This window comes from Homo sapiens, chromosome 3 (assembly GCF_000001405.40).
Source record: "Homo sapiens chromosome 3, GRCh38.p14 Primary Assembly".
Lineage (NCBI taxonomy): Eukaryota > Metazoa > Chordata > Mammalia > Primates > Hominidae > Homo > Homo sapiens.
In genome coordinates this window covers 169,087,442-169,106,758 of record NC_000003.12, presented here as the reverse complement: position 1 = coordinate 169,106,758, position 19,317 = coordinate 169,087,442, and the positions used below count along the sequence as shown (strand labels likewise).

General features: G+C 34.2%; 1 protein-coding gene across 38 annotated transcripts in view; it reads left to right on the top strand.

The window, feature by feature from the left end:
* MECOM (MDS1 and EVI1 complex locus) overlaps positions 1-19,317 on the top strand; it is a 580,206-nt gene that overhangs the window by 556,954 nt on the left and 3,935 nt on the right. For all 38 annotated transcript variants that reach the window (NM_001205194.2, NM_001366473.2, NM_001366466.2 and 35 more), the window contains 6 exons: positions 4,533-4,699; positions 5,797-5,874; positions 11,514-11,683; positions 13,657-13,801; positions 16,523-16,759; positions 17,576-17,759. In NM_001205194.2, coding sequence (NP_001192123.1) covers positions 4,533-4,699; positions 5,797-5,874; positions 11,514-11,683; positions 13,657-13,801; positions 16,523-16,759; positions 17,576-17,759 — 981 coding nt within the window. The remainder of the gene's footprint in view (positions 1-4,532; positions 4,700-5,796; positions 5,875-11,513; positions 11,684-13,656; positions 13,802-16,522; positions 16,760-17,575; positions 17,760-19,317) is intronic.

The window sequence follows — 19,317 nt, the reverse complement described above, 5'->3', positions numbered from 1 at the left end:
TTTCTAAGGTACAGTATGACTTTGACAATAGCTCTCTTGTTAGGTGGTTGAAGCTTAAGGTGTTGACCCCTTACATACATGGCCAATGATTGTACCAACTTACCAAGGCAATATAGATTTTAAGTTAAACTACCTTTTCTTATAATACAACAGCATAGTGATTGCCGTTGCAATGCTTTGAAACATTCCCATTCCATTGAGTCACAGGTTTTTCAGAGATGTGATTTACATTTGTATTATAAAACAGATATTAGTAGGAAATATTAAAGATATATGTTTATAATTTTTCGTGGTAAAAAAACCTCTATGTGGATTGTTTGTAACACAAAGGATACATGCTTGAGGGGATGAATATTCCATTCTCCGTGATATGATTATTTCACGTTGTATGCCTGTATGAAAACATCTCATGTATCCCACAGATATATACACCTACAATGTACTCACAAAAATAAAGAAAAAACTAAGTGATTTCATAATCATGACTGCTGAATGTGATACATGGAGTGGGATAACCATAAAATAGGAATATTTACTTCTCCCCCATATGACCATGATTTTGAGATTTCTCAAGATTATCAAGTGAATAAATATAGAAAATCACCAAATCTACAAACTTTCCCATCATAAGTTATTTATGAAAAGTTAGTTATTTTATGATAAAGTCATGTGTAATCGAATTTGTAAAACATTAGGTCACATAATTCATGGTGTTGTTGGACATATCATTTCATATAATCAGGTTGTCACTTTAATAGTTTTAATGAGAAACCTTTTTGTCATCAATTATTGGCTGCCAGATAATAAATGTTAAGTGCTTAGGACCCAGTTGATAATATCTTGCCTGCTGAAATGTTTTTAAAAATACTAACTTTATTTGACTAGAGAGATAGCTACATTTTTTGGTAGGAGCTAGGGAATTGTGTCTAAATATTAGTTTGCGTCAGTATAAAGTTAATAGCCTCTTGGGGACTGGAACAGGGTGAAATGACTTCCTCTTCCAGACATCTGGCTGCAGATAACATCAACTATTATATATGTAAATAAAAATTACTGTTCCATAGGAAAAAAACTGTCATTTACTGATCTTAGATTAGCCTATGACATTAATGGATCACAGGGTAATATATTTTTAAAATATATGATCTAATTTTACCCCTTTGATTTCCCCATTCTCAGCAAATTTCTTATTCCTAGTAGTACATATTGCTCTTTTCATTTGATTTTTTCATAATTTAAAAACATATAGCTAGATTCTGTTCCATTTATTCCAATTTATCTTGATTTTTAAAATTTAAAATGAATGTCAAAACTTACTATTTCTCCTGCAAAAAAGTGTTACTTTTGGAGGAACATCACGTGACTCAGACCAGATAGCAAGAGAGAGTTGGGGTTTTGATCTGTGCACTCAATAGAGTTCGTGTTAATCCAATATCTTAATCTAAGGTGTTGACTAGGGCTGATGTTGATCACAGAACTGCCAAGTTACCCCAACTAGCAGATGTCTGAGTCACTTCTGTTTATCTTAATGTGGAAACTTATTCTTTTCAACTGAGGTCAACTGCTATAAGAGCACACATTAGGAAGATGAAAAGAAGGATTCAACGAAGGCTTTTATGTTGCTTCAGTGGTTGCTGGCTGGGCAGAAAATGTTTTGTGTACGTGTGTATGTGTGTTAATAGTTACCCTCAGCTCGCTTCCCATCGTCTTTCCCTCCCTTTCCCCACTCCAATTTAATCCTCTTTTCATTTGACACCAGAAGCCAAAGGTGGGGGAGGCTTGTAAGACACTTGCGTAACCCTTATTCTTTTTCCTATTACCTTTAAGAATGTCATTATTTAGCCATCAAGCCCATAATATATTTTCTTGTTTCTTGATGGTTTTCCCAAATCGAAACAGTTTGAGGTAAAGTAATCACAGTGATCTTTCTTCAAAAGGAGCTAGCTATTAGCAGCTACTAAAGCAAGACACATTTCTCAACAGCCAATTGCTCTCAAATAACTTGAAGGACTTGTGGTTTATGTGTGCTGAAGATGAAAGCCGAGAATAATAGTCATGAGTAAGCTATTTTCCATATAAAAGGAAACGTGTTTCTATGAGATGTTTTGTTGCAGGAGTCTGAGTATGTCAGCAAGATGGACACTCAAATGATTTAAAACCACTAGATAATGAAATTTTACTTAAATATTAAATGTACATAAATAAAACATTTATAATCATTACCCATGCATTAACTGTTCTTCCCAATAAATGTGTGTGATCATGACCCTTACCCATGCTTGTTAGTAGTACTAATCAGTTTAAAGGCCAGAGTTCATTTTTCACTCAGAAAACTTATTTCTTGCTGGGTGGAATATCAAAATGATTTTCTGCAAGGAACAATTAGAAGGAATAAATGCAAATACAAGAGTATCATAAAATATTTCTGGATTGATTTTTTAACAAATAAATCCAAAGTAACATGGACATGCTAATGCTCTGTCTAGAAGGGAATAATGACCATATTCTGCAGAGACAGAATTTCCTCCAACCTCTGTGAGCAGCAGCATCATTCCATATCTCTGCCCTGTGATCAGTATGTGTCAAAATCCTTCATAGTGACAAATGTGCTGTCCACTTGCATCTGTGGAGAATGTTTTAGCAGCTGAGTGATTATGAATCAAACCCCTGAGCTTATAGCCCTTACTGCCTCCCGATGCGTTCACATTTGTCGTCTGACAAGTAAATGTATCTTGACTTTCCTCTGAGATTTTTTTGTACCGTGTTTGATGAAAGACATTTGGCAAATTGGCAGTAGTACCCTGTACGTTGCAATTTGTAGCTAACATTAGGAGTCCGGGCATGAAATGAGAGGGCAGGCTCCAGGATAAAGGGGGAAAAAAGAGAACTAACTAGAACATGAATAGTCACTTGAAGAATCAAACACACAATATTCCTTTTGTGAGAAGAGATCATGTTCAGGCCATGCTGTTAAGACTTTGCTCTACTTTAAGAAGCTGATGGTATTCTGTCCAGCTGTGTGTCCACAGAATATATGTCTTGTTAATTTTTCCTTCTGAGTAGGAAATGTTGCCTTTTATTTTTAACTTGAGCTCATAAATTAGGCCTCCATCTCTGTCCTGCTGTCTCATTAGCAAAAGGATAGTTTCTTGGGTTGACCAGTTGTTTGAATTTGCAGTGATCATCTCAGTTCTTATGTGTCTTCTGGTCTAGCATCACAGCTCTTTGAGATTTTTATGTAATGCATATAGAATGCAAACACCTTTTAAAATAGCTTCTTGAGCTTTCTAATGGCACACTGCCCTGAGAATCAAATAAATAATGGGTGAGTTGATTTAACAGGATGGCCTGAAAGTTTGTTTTTCTACTTAAAAATTCAGTAATAAGCAGCTTCCAAATAAAATGTGAGCCCTGAGGAAACACAACATGTTGAGAGGGTCAAAGGAAAGGGGAGAGTCCCTCTGGCTGTGGAGCTTAAGAATCAAGCTAAGACTGGGCACAGTAGCTTATGCCTATAATCCCAGCACTTTGGGAGACCGAAGCAGGTGGAAGGATTGCTTGAGACCAGGAGTTCAAGACCAGCCTGAGCAACATAGTGAGACTCCATCTCTACAAAAAGTTTTTAAAAAACAGGGATCAAGCCAACTTTAAAAGTAAATGCCATCTTCTGCTTGTGACTCTCAAATAAGTGTGCAGGTGTACAAAAACTTGAAGATTATAAACAACAAAAATTAGATTACTAGAGGGGAAGAATTAGGCAGGGATAGTTTTCTTTCAAGAATGTTTCTCGAAAAGTGTGGTTACATAAACTGCTCCCCCTGTCTTACAAGGCACATGCCAAGTTATGTTATATGAAATTATATTAACATATGATGAACTGTCATTTCAACTTAGTCTTTGTCTTTGATAAAATTAATATTTAATCAAAATTCTTTGTATATGATCCTACATAAAAATATGGCATATCCAGATGTTAATTTAATGTAGTCTTAGGCAATACCCTCCTATACATTTAGTTTTTTCTTTCTGAGTTACCCATATTTGGCTTAAGCTGTAATTCTGTAATACTTCATGTTCTCCCATGCTTTCAGTTCTTTTCTTGGGACTGCATGGTTCTTACGGTTTTCATTGCCTAGGTAAGGCATATAGCAACTTTTCCTATAATTTCCGTTATGTTAATATCCATACCATGATACTAATGCTGTCATTTAATCAAATAAAAAGTTAACTTGGCTTTATTGGCTCTCTTATGTATTTCAATGTTCAATTATATATCAGATTATGATAAAATGGCCTAACCAAGGTCTTATGGAAAAAGTTCGCTCAGCATTTTATAAGCTTGGTTCTACTTATGGTATTTCCCAAATAAATCAATTCTGTTGTTGTTTATTTAATATTGGGATACTACAGTCTCTTTCTACAACCCGTCGCAGATTTCATGCTTCCCTTTTAATGATGTCCTTGGTTTGCCAGAGATTATTATAGAAGACAAGATGCCAAACGCTTCATGGTCTTGTGCTTTTACCTTTCAGATGTCAGCTATTGAAAACATGGCAGAAAAGCTAGAGAGCTTCAGTGCCCTGAAACCTGAGGCCAGTGAGCTCTTACAGTCAGTGCCCTCTATGTTCAACTTCAGGGCGCCTCCCAATGCCCTGCCAGAGAACCTTCTGCGGAAGGGAAAGGAGCGCTATACCTGCAGGTAACTGCACAGTTAATTATGGCTGACTTTCCAGAAATCTCCCCTCTGATTTCAAAAGGTCTTGCTGTTTGTTTTGGAAATTATTCCTGATTAGATGATTAATAGCCACCATAATAGATCTCCAGCACTTCAAAGTGTTCTTCATTTAGTGAAATATAAAAATAGTGTTTTTAAAAAATTATTAAATGTGAATTTTAACACAGGACATTTGGTTGTGATAAATGAGGTTGGAAACAATCCAAATACTATCTACTTGTCTCACTTTGATATTTATGAATTTTCTTTCACAATTAATTATTTTCATCTAAAGGTATACTACTACTGTCCTCAAGCATATATTTATTAATTGTCATGGCATTAAAGAATAAGGCCATTAATTAAAGAGAAGTAAGGTCCATAAGTGAATAAAACTAGCTAGTAAATTTTTTGTTACTCATCAGTAGTAAAGCTTATTTTATGTTTCTGGTTTTGTGTGTGATTTTTTTTTGCTAAATAAATTGTGCTTATAATTTCTGAATCATCTTTAGAAATGTGTAGGTATTTGACTCAGGCATATCACTTTATCTTCTCTTTGAAAAATATGTCACTTTCTTTCCAGAAATAAAGCTTTTATGGGTACATACCTTGATGGATGAAGTCTCAGGATTTTGTCTGATCTGATACCACTCTATGCATAGGGAGTTATCACTGTGGCTGACATGTAAAATGAGTTGAAACATTTGAAATCTGTTTACATCAACCCAGAATCAGAAACTCTTATCATATTTTTATCCCCTTATCTGGTTCAATTTTGTGAATGTAAAAATATTGAGTTAATAAGAGAGATGTATAGGAGTAATCAAAACTAAAGTCTATTTTCATAAATTGCTTGCTTATAAGTGAACAAATTCAACCAGATCTTAGAATGCAGTCTTTATTTGTAGAGTTATTTATATTAATATCTGTGAAATGGCTTTGTTGTAAATTTTAAATACCAAAGAAATGTGAGTTCCATGCAAGATTAATTGAATCAGGAATAAGCATCTGGCTGCTGTGTGGCATGAGTGAAATATAGTCAACTGTGCTGACTTTCTCTTATAAACATCTTTTCATAACAGATACTGTGGCAAGATTTTTCCAAGGTCTGCAAACCTAACACGGCACTTGAGAACCCACACAGGAGAGCAGCCTTACAGGTCTGACAATGATATTTGCTAAATATCTTGATAAATATTGTAATAATTAAAGTTTATTTTAATAATAAAATAATAATTAAAGTTTATAATAATTAAAGTTTAAATTTTATGCGTGTCTGAATATATGTCTATTCAATTTTGAGTCAAGAAAGAATTGACTAATGGCTAGGATCAAAATTAGAAGAGTTCCAGTTTCTTTAATCAAGGCTTCCTACCTCTCAGTTTAAAAGTTCTAGCACAGTGTCTAGGACAGAATAAGTACTTAAGAAATGCTAGCCATTTTAAATATTATTTTTTATTATCATTTGTTCTCTTTTCTCAATAATTAGGATGATCTTAATTGACAAAAATCATAACTTTGCAGCCTTCCTTTTCCAAGCCTCAAATCTCTGCTAGGAGTTAATAACCCATATGTACTTTTTTTCCCCCAGCACAGCTAAGTCATTTTCCATGGATTCCAATAGGAGGTTTAAAGGATAGATTTTAGGCTGGGCATGGTGGCTGACGCTTGTAATCCCGACACTTTGGGAGGCAGAGGCAGGTGGATCCCTTGAGGTCAGGAGTTTGAGATCAGCCTGGCTAACATGGTGAAACCCTGTGTCTACCAAAAATACAAAAATTAGCCAGGTGTGGTGGCTCACACCTGTAGTCCCAGCTACTTGTGAGACTGAGGCAGGAGAATCCACTGCACCTGGGAGGTGGAGGTTGCAGTGAGCCAAGATTGCACCACTGCACTCCAGCCTGGGTGACAGAGTGAGACTCTGTCAAAAAAAAAAAAAAAAAGAAAGAAAGAAAGAAAGAAAGAAAAAAAGAATAGATCTTAAACCTGGGAAGTCAGGGGAGAAGAAAATATGAAACTAGAGGTAGGACAGATAAAATAGAGTATATTATAGAAAAACGGGCAATTTTATCAATAATTTCCTAAATTACCTCTTAGTTTATTCTATTACATGCCAAAATTAGTCATATGACACATTGGACACATCTAATTTTAATATTGTTTAGAAAGATTAGATTGAAAATAGACAACATTACTCTTTCCAATTTTAAAATATAAACTACATTATTTAATGTTCAATGCCTTGCACACAGTATTAGTTACTCGTAAATATTTCTTCAAAGAATGAATATTATACAACTTAAGTAATATCATAATGTCATTCTCCTTTGAAATTCTTATACATTGCATGTATGCAAAATTATTTTTTCCTGAGTGCTAAGTTTTTCTATTAAAACAAAAAGTAAGTTATTTATCAGATTTCAAATATTTTTTTAATGGTAAAATAAGAAAATGGGTCATTTGAGGATAATTGAAATCTTAGAAGAAAGCTAGAGGGAGCTAAACTTAAAACATCAGTTTTCTCAAATTCCTTGCTTTCCTACCTGTTTTATAAATCACTAATTATAAGTGATATATTTCCAATTTATACATGATAGAATGCACTTGATATAACAGGTCTCAGAGAGATGTAATACTGGGAAGTTTTAGATGATTTCCCCTTTTGAGAAAATTATATTACCAGAAATTCTGCTTAAGTGGAAGGAAAGGTTTCCACACTCATGTTTTGTTATGGCAAGAGTACTGGAAACTATGTTATCACGTTCATTTTACTCTTTCTTTGTACATAAATTTCAATGGTTTTATTCCACCCAATAATGGCTCTATTATTGTGCATATATATTTTTTTAAACCACAAACCAGCATTTTGGTATAGCTGGAGAGCTTACACAATTATTTGTCCAGCCCCTCTGGGTTTTTTTTTTTTTTTTTCCTTGCAGAAGAATTCCAATGAACAGTGTAGAAAAAATGAGGAAAACAAAATCACAAGTAGGACACCACAATAATAACTGCTACAGGGAAGATCAATTGAATGTTAAAATGAGTGGATATAGTGAACTAGATAGATTTTATAGTTTAGTTAATGTATCAGTGTTGGTTTAATAGTTGTGACAAACGTACCTGAAACATATTAACAATAGGGGAAAATGGGTACTATGTACTATCTTTGCAACCTTTTAATAAATCTAGAACTCTTCTAAAATGATAAGTTTATTTAGGCCAAGTGTGGTGGCTCATGCCTACAATCCCAGCACTCAGACAGGCTGGGGCAGGAGGACCACCCAAACCTAGGAGTTGAAGACCAGCCTGGACAACACAGCGAGACCCCATCTTCAAAAAAAGAAAAGTTTATTTAAAAAATAAAAAATTAGTGAGTGAAAGTTTAAAGAGGATATTTGCACAGCCCCAAAATATCTTCTGCAAAATATTTGTTAATTAGAAAGAGAAAAAGTAATAACCTTATAATGGACAAACCTGGCAGATACTACCTTATCCAAATGATCAGGGTTAACAATGCCAGAAGTTAGACATGTCAGCATCATGTACCCTTGATAGGATGCACTGAGAGGGCATATTGCCTCTGTGCTATTTTCCCCCAAAATTTATAACCTCACTCTAATAATGAGAAAATATCAGACCAACCCAAATTAAGGAAAATTCTACCAAATTCCCAATCGGTATTATTCAGAAGTGTCAGGGTAATTAAAGGCAAGGAAAGACTGAGGAACTGTTAGAGACTGTAGAAAACTAAGGAGACATGACAGCTAAATGCAATGTGGGATCATAGATCAGATCCTGGAACAGAAAAAGAGCACTGGAGAAAATTGGTGATATTAAAATAAAGTCTGTATTTTAGTTAATAGTATTGCATCAATGTTAATTTCCTAGTTTTAATGAATGTTAGGTAAGATGTTAACATTGGAGGAACTGAGGTGAAGGGTATATGGGAACCCTTTGTACTATCTTTGCAAGTCTTCTGTAAGTCTAAAATTATTTCAAAAAGAAAAAATTAAAAAAAGTAAAATGGTATGTAAATGATACATGAATTGTCTGCTTCCTGTGGCTGACCTGTGCCTTCTGGAAAGTTCTATTAGGTTTTAATACTTTATGTAGTAAAAGTTAAACATGGTCCCTATGTAGAAAATTATCTCTTCAGAAAGATAAATACCAGTAGACCACAAGCTCCTTGACAGTGGAATCCACCTTTTTTTTTTTTTTTTTTTTTTTATATAGACAGTAGGTCTCACTCTGTTGCTCAGGCTGGTTTTGAACTCCTGGCTTCAAGCAGTTCTCCCACGTCAGCCTCCTGATTCTTAGCAGGAGAAGGGATTATAGTATAGGCAGGTGCCACCATGTCCCGGAGAATCCATATCTTACTCATCTCTGTGTCCTTGATGCATCAGCCCCTCTGTTTTACAAATGAAAAAATTCAGATTTACATATGCTAATTGCCTTCCGCAAAGTCTGCTACTAATAGAGTCAGGATTAAAACCCAGGCCCAGAGCTCTCACTTCAGCGTTTTTATTTTACATCATGATCTCAAAGGCTCGTCTGACCTCCATGTCTACATCCAATAACTAGGAAGGCTTAATAGTATACTGCCCATGACTGTGTTATGTGTTCGTTTTAAGAATTTCTAAAACTTAGGCTCTTATTGGAATTGTGTAGAAGGAAGTGATTTTTTTATTTAGAACATTCTTTTTCTGGCCAAGACTTTAGCAGAGGAGAGATAGAAAGTAACAACTGATCATTGGTTAGAACATGCTTATTTAGATTTGAGAAGATGGTGCTTACTAGATTTGGAAAAGACCCTTTGTGTGCAAGCAGAAAGTTAGAAGCATGGCAGAAACATAATCTCTCTTCCTCATGATTTGTGTAGAAAGTGTTTTGGGTGAAAAATTTTTTCTAAAGTGTTTTGTGGGAGTACGTTTACTGTAACAGGGTTTTCTAGGTTATTCTGCTAAGCACAGAATAAATTGTGCTAAATATAGCATGGTTCTCATTGCAGTGGGCCTTGGAGGTAAACAGAGTTATTGCAGAGAAGGTCATAACTTTATACGCATTTAAAAAAAAAAAAAACTGGGGCTAAAATATTACAACTACCATAATGTGGGGTTTCACACAATTTTTATTAATATCGTAAGTGAGGAAAGTTGAAGAAGCTTATTATGCCAGAACAGTTTTTTAAGGGGGAAAAATCAAATCAGTACTTGTGTTGGTTTAGTGATACTATGCCAAAGTAACTAGTTCAACAGATTATTTTTCCTACTGAACTGACTAGACTTCTGGCATCACATAAGGACAACCACAGAAGCCCAAGAACTCTAGTGGAATGGGGTGACTTCTGCTTTAGAGCACTTGAACCACTGACTCTGCATTCAGAAGTGGGAGGAGAAGGGCCCTTCACACATGGAAGGATGAGTTAAGAATTTTCTGTCCTCTAAGATTGAAGTTTTCATTTATAAGTCATTTGGAGGCTGGACGCGGTGGCTCACAACTGTAATCCCGGCACTTTGGGAGGCTGAGGTGTGTGGATCACTTGAGGTCAGGAGTTCGAGACCAGCTTGGCCAACATGGTGAAACTCTGTCTCTACAAAAATACAAAAATTAGCCGAGCATGGTGACACGTGCCTGTAACCCCAGCTACTCGGGAGGCTGAGGCAGGAGAATCGCTTGAACCCAGGAGGCAGAGGTTGCAGCGAGCCGAGATTGTGCCACTGCACTCCAGCCTGGGTGACAGAGTGAGACTCCATCTAAAAAACAAAAAAAAAAAAGGTCATTTGGAGAAAGTTAACTTTTTTTTTCAAGTAACATGCCCCCCAAAATCATAAACAAATGATGGCAAATAATGGAATCTTTACCTTAAAATGACAGAGGACAATACCTTCTCAATTACTAAAAACCCTTTTCTTCTTCATTAATGAGAGCTAGGGGAAGGAGGCCTTGCATTTTTGTATTTTCATTTTATGACTAAAGGAAAACTTTAAAAATAATTTATGATTTTTTTTATCACATGGAAGACAGAAACAACTAACCAACCAATAATAAGTGCTTTCATGAAAAACCAACCTGATTCAGACTGCTAGAGACTCGTTCAGAAAAAGAGAAATGAAAAATAGGGGGTAATAGGAAGGGAGATAAATGGAAGCCCTTTGCTTTCATTCCAAAAAGAGAACTTAGTGGCATTATTATTTTTTTTATAACAGTTTAAAGATTAACAGAGAAAAGGCTTTGTGGTAGCTGATTCTTGGGTATCAGACTAAATTATTTACATTGTTTTAGTTTTAAAAGTCTAAAATATTGATTGCTATTTTGAAACTGATAATGGAATTTTCTTTAGGATTAGCACCTGAGAAAATGAATTTCCTGAGAAATTAATCAGACTGAAATTTTGAATTAAAAAGTGATATTTTATTGTATTTGAAAACTATATGAATGTTTTTTGTTTGTTTACAAAAAAATTAGTTGTATTGTCCTAAGCAGAAGATAAAACAATGCTACTGTTCCTCAATGTGCTTTATTTTATGAGGTTTACTTAAAATATTGGTACTGATTAATGAATTTGGGAGCAATCAAATCACTAATATTTTATTATGGTTTCTGATAAAGTCATGAAAGTCTTTAAAGCAATCAGAGTATATTGGAATTGAAATCTTAATTGTGTGAATAGTATTCTCCCTGTGCCTTTTCTTTAAAATGTTGTTTTATGAGTGGAGATGATTTTTGATAGCTGGCTAACTAGTCTTGAGAAATACCTTTTAATGTGCTTGCTAATATTTTCTCTTTGTTTATTTTTCAGATGCAAATACTGTGACAGATCATTTAGCATATCTTCTAACTTGCAAAGGCATGTTCGCAACATCCACAATAAAGAGAAGCCATTTAAGTGTCACTTATGTGATAGGTGTTTTGGTCAACAAACCAATTTAGACAGACACCTAAAGAAACATGAGAATGGGAACATGTCCGGTACGTAATAAATTGTGTTATAAGTCAAAGATGACTTCTTTTTCGTGTTTTAAAAGATAATAAGATAATGTGATCTTTCTTCTTTTATTCCATTTTGACGCCAAAATCAGGTCTTATTGTAAAAATTCCCAGGAAGTTTCTGTTGAGATTTTAGAATAATGTGAGCAATGTGATCATTAATTTATAATTCAGTGGCCTTATTTGGATTATGTTTTTATCTTCCTAATGGGTAATTTTAAGCAAAGAGGACAATGACCTAAACTCGCAGGAGACTTATGAAACAAGATTTCCTAAAATACAGGGGACAGTCTTTTCACCTGTTGGCACAGAATGTGGCCTCTAGGCATGGCAGAGTCTCTAGAGTAGCAGCCCCAGAATGTCACCCTCTGAATATTAATCTAGAAAGCATAGCTGCTTTTGTAAAAGGCCTGCAGCTCAGAGAACCTCTCTTGGTAATTTTTGTTAAGACTGGGAATATGAGACTATTGACATGATCAGAGCAACCCATAGCAAATGATAGTAGTGCTTTGTTTTTGTCACAAATTCTTATATGAAAGTAAGATAAAAGTAACTGGCATAAAACTAGACTTTTCTTAACTGGGACCTTGCCAGCACATATTTAGCAGAAGGGATTGTAGGTTTTCTAGTCTTTGGCTTCCAATAGTTAGATAATAAGTCATTAAGTAACATTTGCCAGCTGGCATATGTGTGCAGAGCCAACCTGTGCAGTCACAATTTGTCTCCAGAGAATAAAGGTTATGCTTTGGGGGTAGGGGAGGAGAGATACAGAATTCAGGCAAAGAGATTTAAGAACAGAAAAAATTTGGATTAATACAGACTAGCAATCTTTATTTATGGAATTTTTTAATTATTAATCTTTCTTCCCCTATAAAGGCACATTATTTATGATCTTGTCTGATTAGTACTTAAAAGTATATACTGTTCGTCTCCCTCAAAGTCAGCAATTTAATGATCATAGTTTTAAAATATTAGATTTTAGGTAGAGAAGTATAATCCAATGTGCAAAACTGGCCACTCTAACTGTGTGTACCCTTATAGCATACAACTATAATTTTCTTATCAAAGTTATTTTAAGAAAAAAGGTTAAACATGTAACATGTCAAAGTTAATACTTTTTGACCAAGATTGTAACCTCTTTTAGGTGAGGGGATGTTCTAACCTCCTGTTTTTGTCATATAGACTATTGTGATGAACTATTATATTACAGATACTTTGTAGGCAAGATAAACAACAGGAAGCTAATGTTGGTGTAAAGCTCAACCACATATAAAGTGCTTAAGTGTAAAAGTGGTTTAAGTTTATGTAAGCCTTACACCAATCCAGTGATACGGGTATTGTGAGTCTTGCAGTGCATAGGCAAGGAAGGGGAAGATCATCCTGTAATCAGCATATCTAATATTGTCCTTTTAATACTGCACCAACCCCTGGACTGGAGTGTTCTGAGTCAACTCACAGCTTCGCCCAGCAAACCAGGATGCAGAATTTTCAGTGTGCCTTTAAACTGTATTTTGTTATATGCTTTAGCATAGTAGCCAAAAAATAAATAAATAAATAAAAAGGCATGTTGACTGCAACCAGGACTTCATATAGAGTGTCTCTTGGCAGAATCTATTTAAAACTTGTTCATAATTTGTCTCACTCTAAATTCTCATTATGTGAATACAAATATTCTCATGTCACAATAGAGGTAAGGAAAAGCTAGTGAGAGAAGCACCTTCTTTGCGAGACTGTACTTCATGATTTCAGTGGTTCAATATATTCCCAAAGGACCGTCATGGGCATGTGTATTATGGTAAACTGGGGAGACTTTGACTTTCTAAAGTTATTATTATTAATATTCATAGGGCATGTTTTAAGAAACAGCACTGATCAAATTCATAAGGAGTGAGTTTCCAAATAAGTTGCTAGATAAACAATAATCTTTGTCATAAAAGGCTTTCTGCTCCACACAGGTACAGCAACATCGTCGCCTCATTCTGAACTGGAAAGTACAGGTGCGATTCTGGATGACAAAGAAGATGCTTACTTCACAGAAATTCGAAATTTCATTGGGAACAGCAACCATGGCAGCCAATCTCCCAGGAATGTGGAGGAGAGGTAAAGCTGTCTTTTACTTTTTAAACTCTGTGACGACTGAAATGAACATGTTTTAAAATATACTTGCTATGCTCACTTTTGTGGCACTACTATTACTTCAGTCACCAAAGACTGGTATATATTTAGTACATATTAAATACCACATTAAATGCTTCCAAGCATTTTACATGTGTTAATTAATTTAATTTCATCATAACCCTATGAGATAGCCACTATAATTTTAGCAGTGAAGGAATGGAGACATTGAAGCTTAAACCATTGTGTCAGAGGTCACATAAGTAATCAATGGGATTCAACCTGAGCTCTCTGGTTCCAGAGCCCATAATTTTACCAGGATTTAGCTATCTGATAGCTGAATAGAATCTGTTATCAAAATTTCAGAAGTAGAAGAGAAAGCCGTCACAGGGATTCAGTTGAATCACTGATCAATAGTGGCTACTATTATACATCATAAATTATATATATTACAGGTAATATATGATTCTATATACCTGTATTATACATAAATACATATATGTATATTCTGTATATATGTAATATACATATTATAGTACATATGTATGTATGCATTTATATATGAAATACCCATGGAGTTTCCCCCAAATATATTTTACATAGAAGCTTTTATAGTCTTCTTAAGATTCTATTGCTACTTTATGTCCTCTTAAGTGACTACTCATTTAATTCTGGTCTGTTTGTTTCAGTGGGTATGAACATCCTTGTTTTTACTGCCCTGATGCACTGGCTCCCTTTTATCATCACCAACATTAAGCATGAATAGCTTAATTCATTTAAAAAAGCTTTTAATGCTGTTAATGATAATACTTAACAGTTACCCAGCACTTCACATTGCATATGAAGTTAATGAAACACTATTTCACCAAAACTACTGGATTTAATTTTTCTTATCTGTAAGCTATAATTAAATATCTATTGTTGAGAAGTAGACTTTTCTGAACACGACTATATAGTGACCTATTAAATTCAGATGCTACATTGTAAATTTCAAAATAACATGAAATTAGTTAAAAGTTCCATTATTTTTCATCATACAAGTATTATTGGATTAGTGTCCTCTGTTTTTGATGTTATCAAAAGTCAAAATTAATTATTTTATGTAATTTTTTCAAGGCAAACATCAAATAAACATTTTTTACTAAAATAACAAAAAAAATGACCACTTCTGTTTTTCAACTTGTATAAAAGTGTATCAAAGAAAAACAAGAAAAAAGACCCTTCCAGTCTCTGAGAAGTCTGATAACTACACCAGTGTGCAGTTGGATGTACCTTTCCCTTTACTTGCCCATTTGTGTGTGTGTGTGCGTGTCTGTCTGTCTGTTTGTGAAAGGGAGAGAGGAAGCAGATGATCAGAAGGACAAAGTAGCAAGAACAAGCAAGAAACAGTGACGATCTTATACTTTGATAATGATATTTACTTGATGCAAATAAGAACTGTTGAACAAAACACACCATTTGGGTTCTGAGATGCCTATTCAAATTTTCTAGCCTTTAATTGGCGATTTGTGAGCCTGTATAGTTGCAACATCTGGCTTCAGCATGTCTAAACAGCACAGAAATAAGAAGGTTGAGTCATCTAAGTTTTTCCCCTGAACTCCTACCAGGCTACTTTTGATGAATAATTTATTCTCTGTAAATTGCCACATTTGAAAACTTAATTAACAAATAGATTTTCTTAATTATGTTGGCTTTTGTTACTTTTGATTTTCATCCATGCACTCTTTTTGTTCTTTTACTTTTTCTTTCTTTTTTTTAAATAAAAATTTTAATCCACTCATGCAAGCAAGTTGGCAGTGTGTTTGGAAACTAATTTATGTCTGTGCAAAAGATGTTTTCACCATTCTTTGATAAAAGAGGTTAAGCGATTGTTTTTATTAAAAGCTTAATAATGATATGACTTTTTCTGGTCAAATGGATTTTTACTATGTGTGTTTGTCACATCCAAGATTGTTTTATTTATTTTTTAATCCTGGGAAATCTGAATATTAAATTATACTCATTTTTGTTATGTGGGAAAGTGATGGGGGTACATTGTAATACCTGAGCTTTTTCCACCCTGGCGTTTTCCTGAGAAACAAGGAACTATTTCACATTCAGACTGTAAAAAATAATTTGAAAATAGTACAAATAAGTGAGCTGTCAATTACTTCCAAATATGGGTAGAGTGGTTAGGTGGAATGTACCACAAATGTCATCTAGTATCAGTAAATACCAGTTGTTTCTTGGTAACTACTTTAACATTGTCTTTGGACTTTTAGAGTCACTTTAGGCATGTGTATTGTAGCTACGGCCCATGAGTGATATGAATTTTCCAGAAATCTATTATTTTAAATGGTGGGTACTTACATGGCAATTAGGTAAATTGTGCTGAGAACATACTTATGTGCCTTTTTATATGATATATATAGCAATATCAATTATCAAGCAAAGTCTGATAAGAAATGGGAGACCAAGATTGTTTTTCGGGTTCTGCCAGAGGCTTCATTTATAATCTGAACAATCATACAATTATTTTTTTCTTTATCTTCCCATTTGTGAAGTCACATTATTTTTTCATGGTTGACGTAGAGCATAAACAATAAAACATTTCCGATGTTAAGTGTTGAAAATCTAAACTGTTGTTGGGAAGACATAATAAAGGAACAAATTACAATTTTAAAAATGAAACCAACAATTGGACTTTTTTTTTAATGCTTTTGAAAGAATGAATGGCAGTCATTTTAAAGATGAAAAGGCTTTGGTGACCAGTCAAAATTCAGACTTGCTGGATGATGAAGAAGTTGAAGATGAGGTGTTGTTAGATGAGGAGGATGAAGACAATGATATTACTGGAAAAACAGGAAAGGAACCAGTGACAAGTAATTTACATGAAGGAAACCCTGAGGATGACTATGAAGAAACCAGTGCCCTGGAGATGAGTTGCAAGACATCCCCAGTGAGGTGAGTACCTTGGGTGACTTTAGAAACTAAGCTAGAGTAGATCCATGTACGGTTGCAATTCCTCCTGTGATAAGCAATTTGTGAGTTATAAATCACAAAAATTAAACTTGAATTAGTAAGGGATACATGGTGGATCAGATTTAAATAGATGAAAATAAGGTGGCTATCAACATAATCCACAAGCATATAAATACATCAGGTTTGGTGCAACTCTGATTAACCTGAGGTGGGAAAGATAAAATGAAAATTACATAAGTACACAATCATTTATTGTTAGACTCTACCTATAAAACTCAAAGAAAAATAGAGATTTTGACGTTATCTAATTATACAATAATCTGGCATGGTCATCAGTTAAGTATAATTGAGATAAACTTCACTTCAGTAGATATATATGTGATCTATATAGATGATAACTTTTTAAATGAAAAGAAATAACCAAACAGTTAAATTGATGGGACTATTATATTTTCATGATGGATGTTGACTAAATATTGTCATAATTAGCTTTACTTTAAATGGAAATAATGAATATATGAATTCTGTCTCTGCCTATTACTGACTAATGTGTCACTGACTTTAACTCTTTATCTCAAATATATGCTTGGCTTTAGTTACTAAAAATCTTAACAGAAATATATTTTTAAGACATGATGTTTGTAAGTATTTATAAAAACCCAATAATTGATGCATGCTACTTTACCTTGCAGATACAATATGAAGTTTGTCAGTTGTATAGATAGATTCAAATGAAAGTGATTTGATTAGATAACAAATGAAAAGAAAATTTCTGTGTTTTTCGTTGGTTCATTTTAGGTATAAAGAGGAAGAATATAAAAGTGGACTTTCTGCTCTAGATCATATAAGGCACTTCACAGATAGCCTCAAAATGAGGAAAATGGAAGATAATCAATATTCTGAAGCTGAGCTGTCTTCTTTTAGTACTTCCCATGTGCCAGAGGAACTTAAGCAGCCGTTACACAGAAAGTCCAAATCGCAGGTACAGATTTTCCCATAGTACAGCATCATGGTTACATTATGCATGAAACGTACATTTCCTTTGATTACCAAAAAGCAAATATTCTATCTTTGAAATATTTTAGAATCCAAATGGGGTCAGATGCCTTTCTAAAAATGTTCATATCTTTACTGTATTTATGACCAAATCCAAAATAGTTAAGCAAGAAAGCAATTAATTTAGCTGCATTCTGTATAGAAATTTTATGACAAGCCCCATCCTACACTTATCTTTCCTTGACTTTGCAATTCTCTTACTTTTGTACAGTTAGTTCATCATGTTTGTTTACAAATATTTATGTATTACCTCAGAGTCATTTTCCGTGTCTATACTTTTGTCAATGTAATTATATTTTAAGATTTTTCTGAAAAGTGAATTCTATTTTTTGTCCCCTTCTATGTCTAGTAAATTGTTAGGTGTAGTTAATTAGCAAGTCATCTCATGTTGTAATTTAATAGTAAAATGAGGATCAGAAAGGAAGTGAGTTGCCAAAGGTCTACACCAACTTACTGGCAGATTTGGAAATAAAACCTGTCAATTTAAATTCAACAAATGAATGAGTGAATGAATGGTACTCAAATTTATTAGGCTCTACAACATTGTATCAGCACTATGGTAACTAAAAATAAATCTATTTAAGGGTCCATAAATAGCAATTAAAAGAGCCTCAGTGTTTTTGTTACAAAATAAAGGAAGTCGGTACTTTTTTGTTTGACATCCACACTCAACCGGATTGTTCATTCAGGTCAATTAAAAATAAAGAAACTTCCTATTACCATATTTATTGGGCACTGTGGTCTAATTGCCTGATCCATTAGTTCATTTTGTATGTGGCCTGACCTGCAATGTGACCATATTAGTTTGTACATTTGGAAATGATTTTCTATTTGGGTAAGATGTCTGGGTTTGTCTTAACAGCAAATGTAATAATATCCCAAGGAAGTTGGGAAAAACATTGTGTCAATGGGATAATACAAATCATTAAATAATATTCAATTTAGTAAAAAGTTCTGAGATATTATGTATGGTAATAGGTAAAATAAATGTTCTTTCTCAACTGAAGTTAAAGCAGCCACCATCTACAGAGGCTCCTAGAGCCTACCTCCATGAACTTAAGAACATCACTTAAAGACTATAGGTACCATTTCTTCATTGTAAAAGGGGTAAGTGGATTTTTATTCAATGGGGATAAAAATGAAGTTTCCAGTTTTTAACATTAAAGGTAAACTAGCTAGAGTAGACATTTCATTTTTACTTAGAGACATCCATAAGGGGTGGCTAGTATTTTTTTTTAACCCTTGATTTCCCATTCTTCCATCCTTGTTGATTAGAGATAACTTGAGTATCAAGGTTTTTGGTTTTTTGTTACTTGTTTCTTTGTTTTTGAGACAGGGTCTCACTCAGCTGCTAAGACTGGAGTGCAGTGGTGCAATCACGGCTCACTATAGCCTCGACTTGCTGGGCTCAAGTGATCCTCCCACCTCAGGCATCTGGATAACCGGGACTATTGACACTCACCACTATGCCAGGCTAATTTTTC